Source organism: Homo sapiens, chromosome 1 (genome assembly GCF_000001405.40).
Source record: "Homo sapiens chromosome 1, GRCh38.p14 Primary Assembly".
In the NCBI taxonomy this organism is placed as follows: Eukaryota; Metazoa; Chordata; class Mammalia; order Primates; family Hominidae; genus Homo; species Homo sapiens.
The window spans coordinates 109553836-109570347 of record NC_000001.11 but is presented as its reverse complement, the minus strand read 5'-3'; the positions used below and the strand labels follow the sequence as shown (position 1 = coordinate 109570347).

Here is a 16512-nt window from a genome sequence, read left to right as displayed (position 1 = left end):
TATTTAGTAACCATGATTCTTTACTAAATATTTCTCAACTTTACTAACCAAAAGTTAATTAAAATCCAAATATAAAAATTCTAGACAACTACATTCTTACAGAATCAAAAGGTACATTTATATATGATCTTGTCTTATTACATAATCGATAATCAGGGGTAGTACTAAATAGTTAATACTCAAATAGCACATAGTGACTTTCTTAGGATGCTGTTATAAAAAGGTGAATCCTCTCATTCATATCTAAAAAATCCAATGATTCTACTCTGGGAAGAAAATACAAATGCATACCAGTTATATTTTAAATTGCTTAAAAGACAGAATTCCCAGATTATCCATAGTAACAAGAGCTACTAAATTAAGAAAAGTTGAGATTAATGAATTAATGTGTACCATTCTTTTATATATTGAAAACCACATTTCCATCATTCATGTGAGATTATCTTGAATGAAATAATAAATCCATTAATCTCAGAATCAATTTCTACCTATCTCATTAATCCTACCCTATGGATGCGCTGATTAAAAAAAAAAACAAAAAACCCTCTGTTGCCCTACCTCTCTCACATTTTTCCAAGGCTCCCTGAGAAAATGTCAGTTTGCCTTTCCCTTTATTATCACACTAATATCTTCTCCTGAGCTTCCAGTTCCATCTCAGGGGCACTATTTTTAAAACCATCAGTTTATCTAATAATTCTCCAAATTATTGAAACACTTTCTATAACCCTTTCTTATTAGGTCTGGGCTCTTCACTTTTACCTCAACTCTCTGTGCTCCATTGTTCTAGCAGTAAGCTCCCTTTTCATAACATCTCATTGTTGCGTTTTCCCCAAGCTGCTTCCTATGTTCCATCTCCCTACTCCACAACACATGTGGTGTTCAGAACTTCCTAATTTTATCTGCATCTTTTATCTATCTTTTTTCAAAAATGTATCACAAGTTTAAGGAGAGATTCAGTTGCCCATCTTCAATACACCAGGGAAGTAATAGTTGAAATACAAAGAATGGGAAGATGCAAAGGATACTGCAAAGACAGCAGCTATGGCTTCAAAAGGGAGGAACTGAAGAGGACTCTGTATGCAGAAGGGATGGAACTATGCAGGGGGTTAGGATACACAGGGGAGAAAAAGTTGGAAAGGTCCCAGAAACAGGAGGCAATAGGATCCGTTCAACACAGAAGCTTTATCCTTTAAAGGATATCCTATATAAGTAGGAGAAAAGGATGAGAGGTGAAGTCACGGAGATTTTTGAGAATAAAAGGAGGAAGGAAGCCATGTTAGTTTCATTCTCAATAAAAGAGGCAAGGCAATCTGCAGAGAATAAAGGGAGAGGATTAATTTAGAAAACTATCTGGGGACAGGGAATGGTTGGTTCACACCTATAATCCCATCACTCTGGGAGGCCAAGGCAGGAGGATCACTTGAGGCCATGAGTTCAAGACCAGCCTAGGCAACATAGGCAAACCTCATCTCTACCAAAAAAAAACAAACAACAAGAATAACACAAAAAATTAGCTGGGCCTGGTAGCACACACCTGTAATCCCAGCTACTTGGGAAAATCTCTTGAGCCCAGGAGTTCAAGGTTGCAGTGAGTTACAACTGTGCTACTGCACTCAAACCTGGGCACAGAGCAAGACCTTGTTCTGGCAAAAAGAAAAAGAAAATCATCTGTGTTTATCTACAGTTTGGATACATAATCATCAACACTGTTAGACCAAAAAAAAAATTCAACAATATGTACTCTAATGTAGAATCACTGTATTTACCTAAACATGGGGTTTTGTTTGTTTGTTTTTTGTTTTGAGACAGAGTCTTGCTCTGTCACCCAGGCTGGAGCGTAGTGGCGTAATCACAGCTCACTGTAGTCTCAATCTCCCAGGCTCAAGCAATCCTCCTCCCTCAGCCTCCTGAGTAGCTGGGAGTAGCTGGGACTACAGGGGCACACCACCATGCCTGGCTAATTTTTTTTTATTTTTAGTAGAGATGAAGTCTCACTATGTTGCCCAGGCTGGGCTCAAACTCCTGAGATCAAGCAATCCTCCCGCCTCACCTCCCAAAGTGCTGGTATTACAGGGGCGAGCCACTGCACCCAGACACATGTTCTTAATTGTATTTTTAAAAAGATCTCTGAGCAGGTACCAGAGCATATGCTCTCCACCCCTCAATAACATATATTACATTATGGGTATGCAAAGTGAGAGATGGTGATAATTTCTTTGCAAGATAATTTTTAAACAAGGCCCCAAGTGATTGGAATTTGGAACTGCTAAAACAAATAAACCATTATCACATATGAGCAAACTCATTCAGCTCACATACAGACTGATTTTAAAAATTAACCCTGACAGATGGCTAATTCTCAAAAAAAAAAAAAAACACTATCCCCTGAGTCCTTCTCTTTTTTCTCTTTCATTTGACTAAAGCCAGTCCAAAGAAAGTACATGAGTATACTATGTGAATTTCTATTTCTGTGCCTTCAAGCACAATGAATTTCCTCATCTGAATGGGGGTCAATAAAAAATGCTTAAAACAGTGCCTGGCACATAGTAAATGTTCCATAAATGTTAGCTAGCTATTATTTATGAATGCCATTTCCAATGTTGAGAATATCACCAAGTAACGTTAAGGCCTCGCAAAGTTTTATTTAGTAATAACAACTTGGATACTGATGTTGGTTCAAAATTCCAGTAAAAATGGTGTAACTATTTAGCAGTGGTTTCATAATAATAAAATCCTAGATAGAATCTGAATTCACACACTTAAACTGCAACTTATAACCTAAAAGTTACAGCAAACTATAATATATCAGAGCATTAGTCGTTTTCTTCACCCTATCCTGAAGAACAAAAATATTCTCTTCCTTAAATGTATTTTCAGCCCCAGATATTCCTGTCTACTATCGCCTCTCCTTTTCAACCATTTATACCTCTATAGCTTTTCCTTGAACCTTCCTCACAGGTCTCTCTGCACCACTACCACCTGAGATAGCAGTTATTCCAGGGGTACCTGAAACATCTCCTCTTCCTTTTAAATACTGGTTTCTATATAGAAATCTTAAAATTTTTAATAACAGGATTATAATTAGAGTATAGTCCCTCTTCCAGAGGTCTGGACAGCCAAGTCCCAGTATGGCACTATTTTTAGATAACCTTTTAGTCAGTGCTAGACCAAGACTCTCTCTTCTACGGGCCCCCATTATCAGACATATAGGAACATATGACTAGAATAGGCACAGACAGCCCCTCCCTCATGGCAGGCTGAAAGCTTGATCAGCAAATAAAATTGATTTTTTTGCTAACTTATTCTCACCTTTCATTTACAACAGGAAAGAAAAAAGAATTGTGAGTATCTACAACTAAAGATCATAGGAGTAAGTCCATTCTATTTCCAATAGGAGTACCTACTGCTCCCGGTTGATTCCTTTTAGTAACAGGTATAAGTATGTAACTCTAAAAATTCAGAGTAAGGTTATAAATGACATTTCAGGCCAGGTGCGGTGGCTCATGCCTGTAATCCCAGCACCTTGGGAGGCCGAGGCGGGTGGATCACCTGAGGTCAGGAGTTCGAGACCAGCCTGGCCAACATAGTGAAACCTCATCTCTACTAAAAATACAAAAAATTAGCCAGGTATGGTGGCGGGCACCTGTAATCCCAGCTATTCAGGAGGCTGAGGCAGGAGAATCGCTTGAATCCAGGAGGTGGAGGTTGCAGTGAGCAAAGACCGCGCCATTGCACTCCGGCCTGGGCAACAAGAGCAAACTCCATCTCGAACAAACAAAAAAGAATGACATTTCATTCAAACGGCTTTTCAAGGTACTATACTTAATTAAAAAACCAGTTGCTTCTTAGTTCAATAAAAGAAAAGGCTAGAAGAATAACAGATAGGAAAAACATCACTGAGCAAATAAAAAAATTTTTTTTCAACAAACATGTCTCCTACATGCCTGAAAATGCTGAATATGGTGACTTCAAATACAAATAAGTTTATGGACTTTACGGTCTGGTGGGAGAAGTTACAGATCTATTTTTCTTGTGAAATTACTAAGTTTCCTTAGCCTACAATCTCAAAATAGTTTTTCAGCCAGCCCACTATCCCTCTAAACATGACAAGCCTCTACATATGCTATAAGCATCCGTAAAACCCCTATTCAACTCAGACTTCAACTCCTTGCTGAAGCCCTCCTCATTCTTTCTGAACAGTTATCACTTCCACCCTGGTGGCTGGCACAGATTATTCCCTTTGACCATCAGTTCAAGAGGTTAATTTCCAAAACTAGCCCCCAAACTGTCCTTCCCAGCCACCTCACTTCATTTTATCTCTAGCCAGCTCTGGCTACTGTAAAAAAATTATTTGACTATATTCCTAGCTCCTAATCTCCTTGCTTCTCATAAGCTGCTAACTGGTTTTCTTGATTTTGATTAAAATAGTAATGAAACCCTTTCTGCCACAACCTGAAAACCCTTCCATATCTATGTAATTCTCCCTCAGGGGCACCCTGACCAGGCTCAACCTGGCTTTACAGGGTAATGTCATACACTGTTACATTAGTACTTGGTCAAATTATTGTAATTATTCGGGTTTGTGCCTGTTTAGGACTCCACTAGCCCTAAGCTCAAAGCCCAATCCTTGAAAGCACAAAATTGCTATTTCTTTTTGTGCACCCCCCGCCAATCTAGAGCAAAATCTAGGACAGATTAGGCACTTAATGACTATCTGTGAAATGAATGGCTTGAGTTTCTATAATATTCAGTGGTTGCTTAATAACATTAATCACAATGCCAGATGCAATGGATGGAATCTTCAACGTAGGTAGTTAACAGAAACGGAAGATTTCCATTCCTATGCTATCTTTATTCAGCCTCACACCCACTCTTGGCCCTTCAACTCTCATCCCATGACTATACTGACAATAAATTTGGACTCACTCACTAGCCTCACTCCCTTCTAACCTTACTCTCAAACCCTTGTCCTATCTCCCCTGCACTCATCATCTCATTCTATCCCTAACACCTAGAAGGGTATATAAAACATAGTGAGCACTCATTTATTATTTGTTCAGTGAGATTATGAATGAATTATCTTTTTTTTTTTTTTTTGAGACGGAGTCTCACTCTGTCACCCAGTGGCACAATCTCAGCTCACTGCAACTTCTGCTGCCCGGGTTCAAGTGATTCTCTGTCTCAGCCTCCCAAGTAGCTGGGATTACAGGTGCCTGCCACCACGCCAGGTCGATTTTTTTTGTAGTTTTAGTAGAGACGGGGTTTCACCATCTTGGCCAGGCTGGTCTTGAACTCTTGACCTCATGATCCACCAGCCTCGGCCTCCCAAAGTGCTAGGATTACAAGCGTGAGCCACCGCGCCTGGCTATGAATGAATATCTTAAGGATAAAAGAAGGCAGTGAGTTGTAACTGGAAGAGAGCTAATGGTTTTTCTTTGAAAAAGATTCTTCTAGGAAGCAATCACATACCGATTACCAAAAAGGCTTAAAGGGCACATAAGAAAATTCTGATAAAACTTAATTGACATATTAGAATTTCAGAACATCTGCCTGCCCATAATCTCTTCTATAAAAATCCCTACTTCGCTACCTCAGTGGGAAATGGCCCACACGATCTAGGCCACAACCTTTCCTGTGACCGAATCGAGGGTAAATACCTAACACAGGAGTCACCTAGTCACAGGCTGTTGGTGGCCTATGTGACCTAGCTCTAAAAGATGAGCAGGACCAACTGGATTATCTGAGGAATCTGCACTAGGAGATACATGTGGAAAAAAACCTAGGCTACCATTATAGAGCTTCATGCACAACAAGGTCACAAAGGAAAAGATTCAGAGGAAGGTTGGTCTGGAGAGAAGAGAACAGAAAAATATGCAGTGACTTAAAGGAGAGAGCTCACAAAAAAAGAGACATCAAGTAAGTGAGAAAACAGAATGAATGGGGGAAGGGCACCTTTGTTTTACAACAAAGGTTGTTGACCCAGTTTAAAAAACAAAAAAAAACAAACGGATGGGACCAAGGAAACAGAGAAAGAGACGGGAACAAGCAAAGGTAAGAAAGCAAAAAAAATAAATAAATAAAATAAAGGCAGAAATAGTGAAGCCAGCAAGAGGCAGAAACAGACAAAAAAGAGAAAACAGTCTGGCCAGTCTCAGAGCTGCATCAGTTCTTGCGGCCTGATTCTCCAGCTCTTCCTGTATTCCCACAAACACCTTTCTATATTCTAACAATAACCTATCAACCCACCAACTTTTGGTCCTAGTTTGAATGAGTTTTCTTTTCCTTGCCACCAAAAAAAAAAAAAAACACACAAAAACTGAATGGAATAGGCTTTAAGGACATGAGAATTACCTTTTTTGCCTTTAAAACTTTAGGTTGTTTTTTATTAAATAAATATTGGATACATAAAAGGGAATACTTATAGCATATGTGTAACAAAAAATCTGTGTACCTATTGTCCAGCATAAAAATTAAACATTACCATTTATCTTTGAAGCAACCTGTGTGTCCCTCCCAATATCAGTTACTGTTTCATTAAACATTTCCAGAGGGTAAAACATGTAATGACAGAGGGGGAGATGTTTTTTAAAAGCCCTAACAACTAAAATATGTCCATAACTTACATGGCACTATATGGTTTGTTCTGAGTTTCATATCCTTCACCAATTACATACATGGACAATAATCCTATCATTTTACAAGCATCATAAACCATAAAGCAGAAAGTTAACAAGCATTTTACATTCATAAATCATCTAAGGAAGGGTTGGCTTGAGTTTTTTTTAAAAAAAAGGCAGCTCACTCAGCTAAGCAGCTCTCCTCAAAATGTTATCATTTAAAGGGGGAGAAGTACGTAGAGTTCCTTCCTTGCCTTTGATTGCTTAAGGGAGCAGTCATTTGTGAGCAAGGACAGGGATCATCCTCTGGCTGCCTCAACGTTTTTTGTTTGTTTGTTTGTCTTCTGAGACAGTGTCTTGCTCTGTCACCCAGGCTGGAGTGCAGTGGCATGATCTCAGCTCACTGCAACCTCTGCCCCGCCCCAGGGCTCAAGCGATCCTTCCCCCTCAGCCTCTGGAGTAACTGGGACCACAGGTGCACATCACCACACCGGCTAATTTTTATATTTTTAGTAGAGACGGAGTTTCACCACGTTGCCCAGGCTAGTCTCGAACTCCTGAGCTCAAGTGATCCCAAGGTGCTGAGATTACAGGCATGAGCCACTGTGCCCAGTCTCAGTGTTCTAATTTTGGACTTTGGTAAGTTTCCTTCTCCTTATTTGAAAGCAGGGCAGCAAAAAGCCATTTTGATGCTAACATTAAATTACGTAGTATTTATATATGACATGACTGAAAACTATATTTATTTAGAGTAAAAGGGAACAGAACTGACACAAGCAACTGTAACCCACAAATAATCCAAATATTTCATTTTAACCCATAAAAATAATGATTCATTATACTGCAGATGTCCTCCAAAGTTAATTGCAATGCTAAATCATTTATCAAAGCACCTATATCCCAAAATTGTAAAATTTTGGGATTTAAAATGTTGAAATCATATTCCTCCCTACCTAGGGCCCTCTAACATCGATAGCAGCATAGGGCACGTTTCTACAGGTGTATTTAATCCAATGTAAATCAAACTACACTTTTAAAATTCACCAACAGCAAACACTACAAACTGAGTTGCCAGATAAGGATGCCTACAATTTCAATTTCCTTTACTATAATAAATGCTCACCAAAGCTGTTCAGCCAAAACCCAAAACAGTATGGATTTCACATATGTATTTACTTCTACTTAACCTTTTGTTACAGCATGAATTAGTGGTGGAATGGCAAAAAAAACAAAAAGGCAGGTAATAAGAAGGAGAACAATGCAGTCTCTGGATGAGTTCCCCTAAATTTTATACACACACACATACCTTGGTATCCGCAGGGGACTGGTTCCAGGACCCCCCCTAGGATACCAAAATCCACCAATGCTCAAGTCCCTTACATAAAATGGTGTAGTATTTTCATATAACCTACACACATTCTGCTGTACAGTTTAAATCCTCTCTAGATTACTTATAATACCTAATAAAATGTAAATGCTATGTAAATAGTTATACTTTTTTTGTATTATTTTTGTCATTTAATTTTTCCCAGTATTTTTGATCTGCCATTGGTTAAATCCAGATGCAGAACCTACTCCATACGTGTGCATACATATCTTGTGTATGTATATATACACACATATATTCATATATACACATACATACATAATACAGCTTAAAATACAGCTACCAAAAAACTTCACATAAACACTCTCCAAATCCTCTGCATACCTTTTCAGGCTCACCTTCTACACTCTTCCTGTACCAACCCTTCATTTCAATCAAATCTATTTGCTCACTCATGTTCTGAGTCTTTGTGCTTACTATTCCCTTTGTCTGGATATGCTTCTCTCCAGCCTCTGCCTTAAGAGTTCCTATCTAACTTTCATCCCAGCTTCTCGCTTAGTAAAATATTCTAAAAGGAAGAAACTTAAAAAAAAAAGTTGCTATTTAATTTTCAAAGCCCATTTCAAATGTCACCTCCTCTGGGAGGGCTTCCCTAACGTATATGTCTCTCTCTCTCTTCCTCCTTACAAAATTGGCTATTCCTTCTGTAATCACATTTTATTACCATAGTTTACTTGCATATCTTCCCTACTTGAACTGCTTAAGAATTCTGTATATTTCTCATTTCTATCTCCAGGCTAGAAACTAAGTTAATAAATGAGCCTCCCACTGAACAGTGCAACAATGAAAACCAAAAAGCTTAATAAAAAGTAGCCTTGACTAAATGCAATGGTGTATCCTGGATTGGATCCTGGAGCAGAAAATTAGTGGGAAAACTGCTGAAATCTAAATAAAATGTGAAGTTTAGTTAACATTAAGGCACCAATATTAATCCCTGAGTGTTTTACAAAGGTACCATAGCTATGTAAGATATCAACATTAAGGAAAAACAGGTGTAAAGTATATAGGGACTCTGTACTATCTGCAACTTTTCTGTAAATCTAAAATTTTCCCAAAATTAAAACCTTAGTTTTTAAACATTGAGTAGTCTAGAAAAAGTTGAAAGAACTACTTCAACTTTTGCTGGGGACATGAATGTGGATTTTAATTACAAACATAATAACAAAAATAGAGTAAGAAATATGCTTTTCTTCTTAGAAGCAGAAGAAGAAAAGAAGCAAATTATTTTCAATACCCTGGAATGAACCAAAATTAAGACTGCACTATCCTAACACATACCTCAGGACTACATTACCTACATAAGTCATGGTCATAGTTTTATCATTATATCAAACGAAGCCCTGTTTTGAAGTTAATGATTCCCAAGTTCTAACTTCAAGAAATACAGGAGAAAATGTTCTGTTAAAGATATGTCACTTTGAAACAACCCTTCAATAACTTACAAGATCCTAGGCAAAACTCACTTTCACATCAGCTCTTTAAGAGCAGTGAATCAGGTCAGATGCAGTGGCTCACACCTGTAATCCCAACACTTTGGGAGGCTGAGTTGAGAGGATCACTTGAGCCCAGGAGTTAAAGACTACCCTGGGCACTGTAGAGAGACCTCATGTCTACCAAAAATTTAAATTAGCCTAGCATAGTGGTGCATGCCTGTAGTCCCAGCCACTCAGGAGGCTGACACAGGAGGATCACAAGAGCACTGAATACAGAGTACTTTTGCTGTTTCTCAAATGATTTTTTTTAAGAGACAGGATCTCACTCTGTCAAATTTTTTGTAGAGACAAGGTCTTGCCATCTTGCCCAGGCTAGTCCTCCGGCCTCAACTTCCCAAAGTCCTGGGATTACAGGACTTTGCCCAGCCAGTACAATTAAAATATATAGAGTGCATGTTTTGATCACGGCAAGGCAAGCCTGACTCAACAGCTACTACAGCTAGAAAAAATTCAGATTATTATACTGAGCAGCAAAATAATAATTATCATTATTATGACTTAGAATACTATCTACTTCCAAGGTAAGCAATAAGAATTCTTTGAGATATAAAATACTAACATTATTCAAGAAACAGATGTTTTGTATTAACATTAAAAACATTTATCCATCTGAAAACATGACTTGGCAACAAAAAGAAGCCCTAACAGCAATTAGTAATGGATCAACAAACACAGTAACATCTCAGCTAATCCTTAACAATCTTTCTTAAACTTTTAGGTATCTAAGTCTAACTTGGAAATCAAAGGAAGTTCAGATCTGAAGACTAGCTCTTCCTGAAACTTGTTTCTAACATCACTAGACCACTATTCAGGTATAAGTCAAACAAATTTAGTCTTTTAGGTATCTTTCTTCTTTGCTTAGTTCACATCAGATACATGAATTTGTCACAACTTAACAGAAAGTCATGAAAAATCGGATATTTCACTTACATAAAGCATTGTATCTATCAAAACTAGAACAATTAAACAGTGATCCTAACACTATGTTATTCAGTTCAAACAGCTTGAATTACAGAAATGATACAGCTGATTACTAAGCCGGTAACAGGATCACCTGGACAAGATAAATGCTTAAAGATAACTTTAACTTGCTAAACACCAAAAAAGAATTATACCAAAAGACAATTAAAATTGGAGGGGAAGTCAAATACTGAGTGATTTCTTTGTATTTTCTTTTGAACATGTACATTAGGGGTACTTCATGAATTTATGTTTTTCAGGTTTTTAACTTCAGTTTTTAACTATCTTTCTAACCAGCTTTATGATGTTAAGCTAACTTCAATCAAACTCAAGAATAAGAGACATAACACAAAAATAGTTACCTTTATAACTTGCTAAAATATTCCATCTGGCTAATAATATTAAGTTCACAGACAAAGGACCCCTGAGGTTCAATTTAAATCCCTCAGTGGTAAAAAGAAAGGAAAATGAAGCTCAGTGATAAGGACTAATCTCTCAGTTTTCATTCTCTTTGCCCTGTATTAATTGCATGGTATCTCCTATTTCTGATGTGAGTTACCAGTTCAAAGAGATGTGTTTTATTATTGCTAGTCTACTATATTTTATTGGCTAGAAAACAAATTTTAAAAATGAACTTCAGTAACGTGAACAAATTTAGTGCAGACTGCTCTAGACATTTTTTCTTTTTCTTTTCTTTTTTTTTTCTTTTGAGACAGAGTCTCGCTCTGTCACCCAGGCTGGATGGAGTGCAGTGCCACAATCTCAGCGCGCTGCAACCTCTGCCTCCTGGGTTCAAGCAATTCTCCCGCCTCAGCCTCCTAAGTGGCTGGGATTACAGGTGCGCACCACCATGCCCAGCTAATTTTTTGTATTTTTAGTAGAGATGGAGTTTCACCATGCTGGCCAGGCTGGTCTCGAACTCCTGACCTAGTGATCTGCCTGCCTTGGCCTCCCAAAGTGCTGGGATTACAGGTGTGAGATACTGCGCCTGGCCGACATTCCTTATTATGAAGACCTGCATCCCTTCTTTCCCACTCCCTTCAACAAGTCCTATTCCCCTGCCATAAAACTAAACTAAAGGTAAAAACAAAGCATGGATAGCTAAACTCTATGAGCAATCTACTTTGCCAAACGTTTTTACCTACTCTCTAACAAAAACTTAGAAGCAAATTATTAATAAGGAGCAAAAACAGTGTTTTATTTCTTCTCTTAGCTTTGGATAATTTTCTGGTACTCATAAAAGTAGTAAGAGGAAAAATTAGCACAAAAAAAAAGCCAGGGTGATGATGAAGCACAGACCCTGAGCTGGTTATATGCATTTTAAAAAATTCATTCCTAAATTAAAATCAAAGGTAATTAAATTCAGGTTACATTAACTATTCTGAGTTGAATGTGTTGATAATGGGACTTTAAAATCCTGTACCCTACTTCAATTTATTTTTAAATTTTGTTTTTGTTTTTGTTTTTTGAGACAGAGTCTCACTCTGTCGCCCAGGCTAGAGTGCAGTCATTCCACCTCAGCTGACTGCAACGTCCGCCTCCCAGGTTCAAGCGATTCTCATGCCTCAGCCTCCCAAGTAGCTGGGATTACAGGTGTGCACCACCACGCCTGGCTAATTTTTGTATTTTCAGAAAAGACGGGGCTTCACCATGTTGGCCAGGCTGGTCTGGAACTCCTGACCTCAGGTGATCTGCCCACCTCAGCCTCCCAAAGTGCTGGGATTACAAGCATGAGCCACCATGCCTGGCCTAATTTTAAATCTGAATTTAAGTTCTCTCTCCCAACTATACAAGATGGTAATATTGAGAATGAGCAGGCACGTTCTCATGAACTAATGAGAAAGTAAAGCAGTGATATGTTTAGTTCCTCAATACTCCCATGTCATTCCATTATGTTCAACTTATATTTAGTGAGTGCCTACTAGGTGTCAGGCACTGTCATCTCTTTATTAAACATTAACTCTCTGGCCATGCATTTAATAGAGAATTTGACCTACTCCAGTCCTTGAAAGGGTCACCTTATAAAACTCATGATACCCCATCAACTCTGCTATACCCAACCATACATGACTGGATTGTGGTTGGCAGATGACAAGGCTGGGCCAATCTGATACTCTTTACCAGGAACCGGGAATGGGATCCTGGGAGCCTGCATCAGATAACATGAAGCACTTGAACTACCGGGTCAGGCGGTGCGTGAGCCACAGAAGATGTCAGAGTAAACAAAAGTTGAAGACTCGGGGGAGGCCATTCTGCTCTAGGAGAAATAGGGGAGAGGGTGGGGGTTGGGTATCACAGTCCATGTACATACAACCTACCTGTATTTCATTTCTTACCTATTCTTGAATGTCTAACACCTATGAAGTTGCCTACTTTGTCCTTTCAATATACCTCTCTTTTACTTGTGACTTGTATGAGTGGTGTTCCTATTCCTTATGGGCAAAAACACTTTAGCATTCTATTAAGTCCTGCAACAGACAAAAAGATGAGAAATACTTAGTCCTCCTGCCCTAAAAGACCATATGGTTAGGACCAGGTAAGTATATAAATAACCATATATAAGGCAGACTATAAGTGGCATAAAAAGTACTATGAGGTTTCAAAAATAGAGGATCATATCATATCCAATTCAGAACATCAAAACAGTTTCACCAATGGCGAGGCATGGTGACTCACACCTGTAATCCCAGCCTTTGGGAGGTCGAGGCGGGTAGATCACTTTAGGCCAGAAGTTTGAGACCAGCCTGGCCAACATGGTGAAACCCCGTCTCTACTAAAAATACAAAAAATAGCTGGGCACGGTGGTGCACACCTGTACTCTCAGCTACGCAGAAGGCTGAGGCATGAGAATTGCTCGAACCTGGGAGGCAGAGGTTGCAGTGATCCAAGATCATGCCACTACACTCCAGTCTGGGCAACAGAGTGAGACTGTCTCGGGAGGAAAGAGAACTAAATAGTAATCATAACAGACAGTAGTCTGAGATTTTTAAAATGTATTTACTAAGAAAAATAAAATATTAAAATCCTAGGTCAGTCTACCAAAAACAAGTTTTTAAAAATTTTTCTGGTCCTTAAAGTCCAAAAATCTGGAATCTAGTAATGACTGAGTCATAGGACTTCGCAACTGACTGGTTGTAAGAGATGAGAGTAACAGAGGAGTTAAAAACAACTGCAGTTTTCAGCCTAGATGAAGTTGAGAATGCTGGTACTGAAACAGAAAAGTTCCCAACAGGTGGATTTGGGGGTGAGGAGTGAAGGCAAGTTCTATACTGGATAAACTGACTTGAGGTAAGTAGCAGGATATAGTTCATTAATACACTGGGGGAAAAGCAGAAAGAGAAGCCATCTCAAGTAGAGAAAACAGATTTTTCAAAAATTCCAAGTAAAAAATTGTCCTCTAAAAAAGGAACCAAAAGACTCTTCACAATGTTTCAGTTTTTTCTTCCGCGTTTTGAACATTCCATTTTTGCACAGCTACTGATTTTCCTGCCATCTGTCTCTCTATATTGTTTTTTCCTGGTTACAGATGAGCGACTTTTAAGAATGGAAGTTAGAGGCTATAATCTCAGTCTATAATCTCAACATTTTGGGAGGCTGAGGTGGGCAAATCATTGAACCCAGAAGTTCAAGGCCAGCCTGGGCAATATGGCAAAACCCCATCTCTACAAAAAATTAGCCAACGGTGGTGGCATTAGCCTGTAGTCCAAGCTACTCAGGAGGCCGAGATGGGAGGATCGTTTGAGCCTGGGAGGCAGAGGTTGCAGTGATGTTGCAGAGGTTGCATTGAGATTGCACCACTGCACTCCAGCCTGGGCGACAGAGTAAGACTCAACAAAAAAAAAAAAGAAAAAGAATGGAAGTTAATGGAAGGACCTGATGAAACACACACAAACACACACACACACACACACACACACACACACACACGCACGCACGCACTCCTTTCCCCAGGAGAAAGTATGCTGTAGAAGAAACCAGGGAAGGAAGAGAGACAGGATAGGAAAAAAGGAAGTATCTGCAGAGGCCTAACAACTCCCTTTTCCTTCCCAAGCTAGAGGATGCAGAAGCTCAGCACCACGGGGGAGGAACAGCATAGTGCTTCAGGTTTTACTAACCATCTCTAAAAGATCTCTAGACTACGAATCAATTTTATTAGAGACAACTGCCTAAAAACTAAAAGACTTTTTTGTAATAATGCATATAAGTTTAGTATGCTAAAAATTATTTTTTAAAGAAACGTAGTAGCAGCGCTTATTAGAACCTTACATGCCCTGTGAAATCTAGTATTAAGCACCCTACTCTATGGCCATCAGTGTACTACAGGAATAGCGTAGTCAGGGAAAATTACATTATTTTAATTCCTGAAAAGGGCCGTATTTTCAGACTGCAAAAGTGATTAATGCTTCTACATGTGGCTTGTCAATTATCCCAGCACCATTTGTGGAACAGGGTGTCCTTTCGCCACTTCACATTTTTGTTTCTTTGTCGAAGATTAGTTGACTGGAAGTTATTTGGCTTTATTTCTGGGCTCTCTATTCTGTTCCATTAGTCTATATGCCTGTTTTTACACCAGTACCATGATGTTTTGGTGATTATGGCCTTACAGTATAGTTCGAAGTCAGGTAATCTAATGCCTCTAGGTTTGTTCTTTTTGCTTAGTCTTGCTTTGGCTATACGGGCTCTTTTTTGGGTCCACATGAATTTTAGGATTGTTTTTTCTAGTTCTGTGAAGAATGATGGTGGTACTTTAATGGGAATTGCATTGAATTTGTAGATATGCTTTTGGCAGTATGGTCATTTTCACAATATTGATTCTACCCATCCATGAGCATGGGACGTGTTTCCATTTGTTTGTATCATCTATGATTTCTGTCAGCCGTGTTTTGTAGTTTTCCTTGTAGAGGTGTTTCACCTTCTTGGTCAAGTATATTCCTAAGTATTGTTTGTTTGTTTGTTTTTTGTTTGCAGCTACTGTAAAAGGTTGAGTTCTTGATTTGATTCTCAGCTTGGTTGCTGTTGGTGTATAGGGCTACTGACTTAAATCTAAGACCCAAAACCATAAAAATTCTAGAAGATAACATTGGAAAAACCCTTCTAGCCATTGGCTTAGGCAAAGACTTCACAACCAAGAACCCAAAAGCAAATGCAAAGACAAAAATAAAAATAAATAAATGGGACTCAACTAAACTAAAAAGCTTCTGAGCAACAAAAGAAATCAGCAGAGTACAGACAACCCAGAGTGGGAGAAAATCTTCACAATCTATACATCTGACAAAGGACTAATATCCAGAATCTACAAGGAAATCAAATCAGCACGAAAAAAACAATCCCATCAAAAAGTGGGCTAAGGACTTGAATAGACAATTCTCACAAGATATACAAATGGCCAGCAAACTTACGAAAACATGCTCAACATCACTAATTATCAGGAACTACAAATCAAAACTACAATGTGATACCACCTTACTCCTGCAATAATGGCCATAATAAAAAAAAAATAGATGTTGGTGTGGATGTGATGAAAAGGGAACACCTTCACGCTGTTGGTGGGAATGTAAACTAGTACAACCACTATGGGAAACAGTGTGTAGGTTCCTTAAAGAACTAAAAGTATATCTACCATTTGATGCACCAATCTCACTCCTGAGTATCTACCCTGAGGAAAGAAGCCATTATACAAAAAAGATACTTGCATACGCATGTTTATAGCAGCACAATTCACAATGGCAAAAATATGGAACCAGCCCAAATGCCCATCAATCAACGAGTGGATAAAGAAAATGTGATATACACACACACACACACACACACCCCTCTACACCCATGGAACACTACTCAGCCATAAAAAGGAATGAAATAATGGCATCTGCAGCAACCTGGATGGAACTGGAGACGATTACTCTAAGTGAAGTAACTCAGGAATGGAAAACCAAACATCGTACGTTCTCACTTGTAAGTGGATGCTAAGCTATGAGGATGCAAAGGCCTAAGAATGATACAACGGACTTTGGGGACTCGGGGGAAAGGGTGGGAAGGTGGTGAGGGATAAAGGACT

The 16512-nt window shown here is 38.8% G+C and overlaps 1 protein-coding gene across 1 annotated transcript in view, besides 1 other annotated feature; it reads right to left on the bottom strand.

Annotated features, from left to right (window-relative positions):
- GNAI3 (G protein subunit alpha i3) overlaps positions 1-16512 on the bottom strand; it is a 51581-nt gene that overhangs the window by 29848 nt on the left and 5221 nt on the right. The gene's annotated exons all lie outside the window — the stretch shown is intronic.
- Positions 5572-6181: an enhancer, noted in NCBI's record as "NANOG-H3K27ac hESC enhancer chr1:110106789-110107398 (GRCh37/hg19 assembly coordinates)". NCBI's record gives its function as "activates a minimal SCP1, AML or CMV promoter by ChIP-STARR-seq in naive H9 embryonic stem cells {active_cell/tissue: H9 hESC(naive)}" and the evidence as "EXISTENCE:reporter gene assay evidence [ECO:0000049][PMID:30033119]".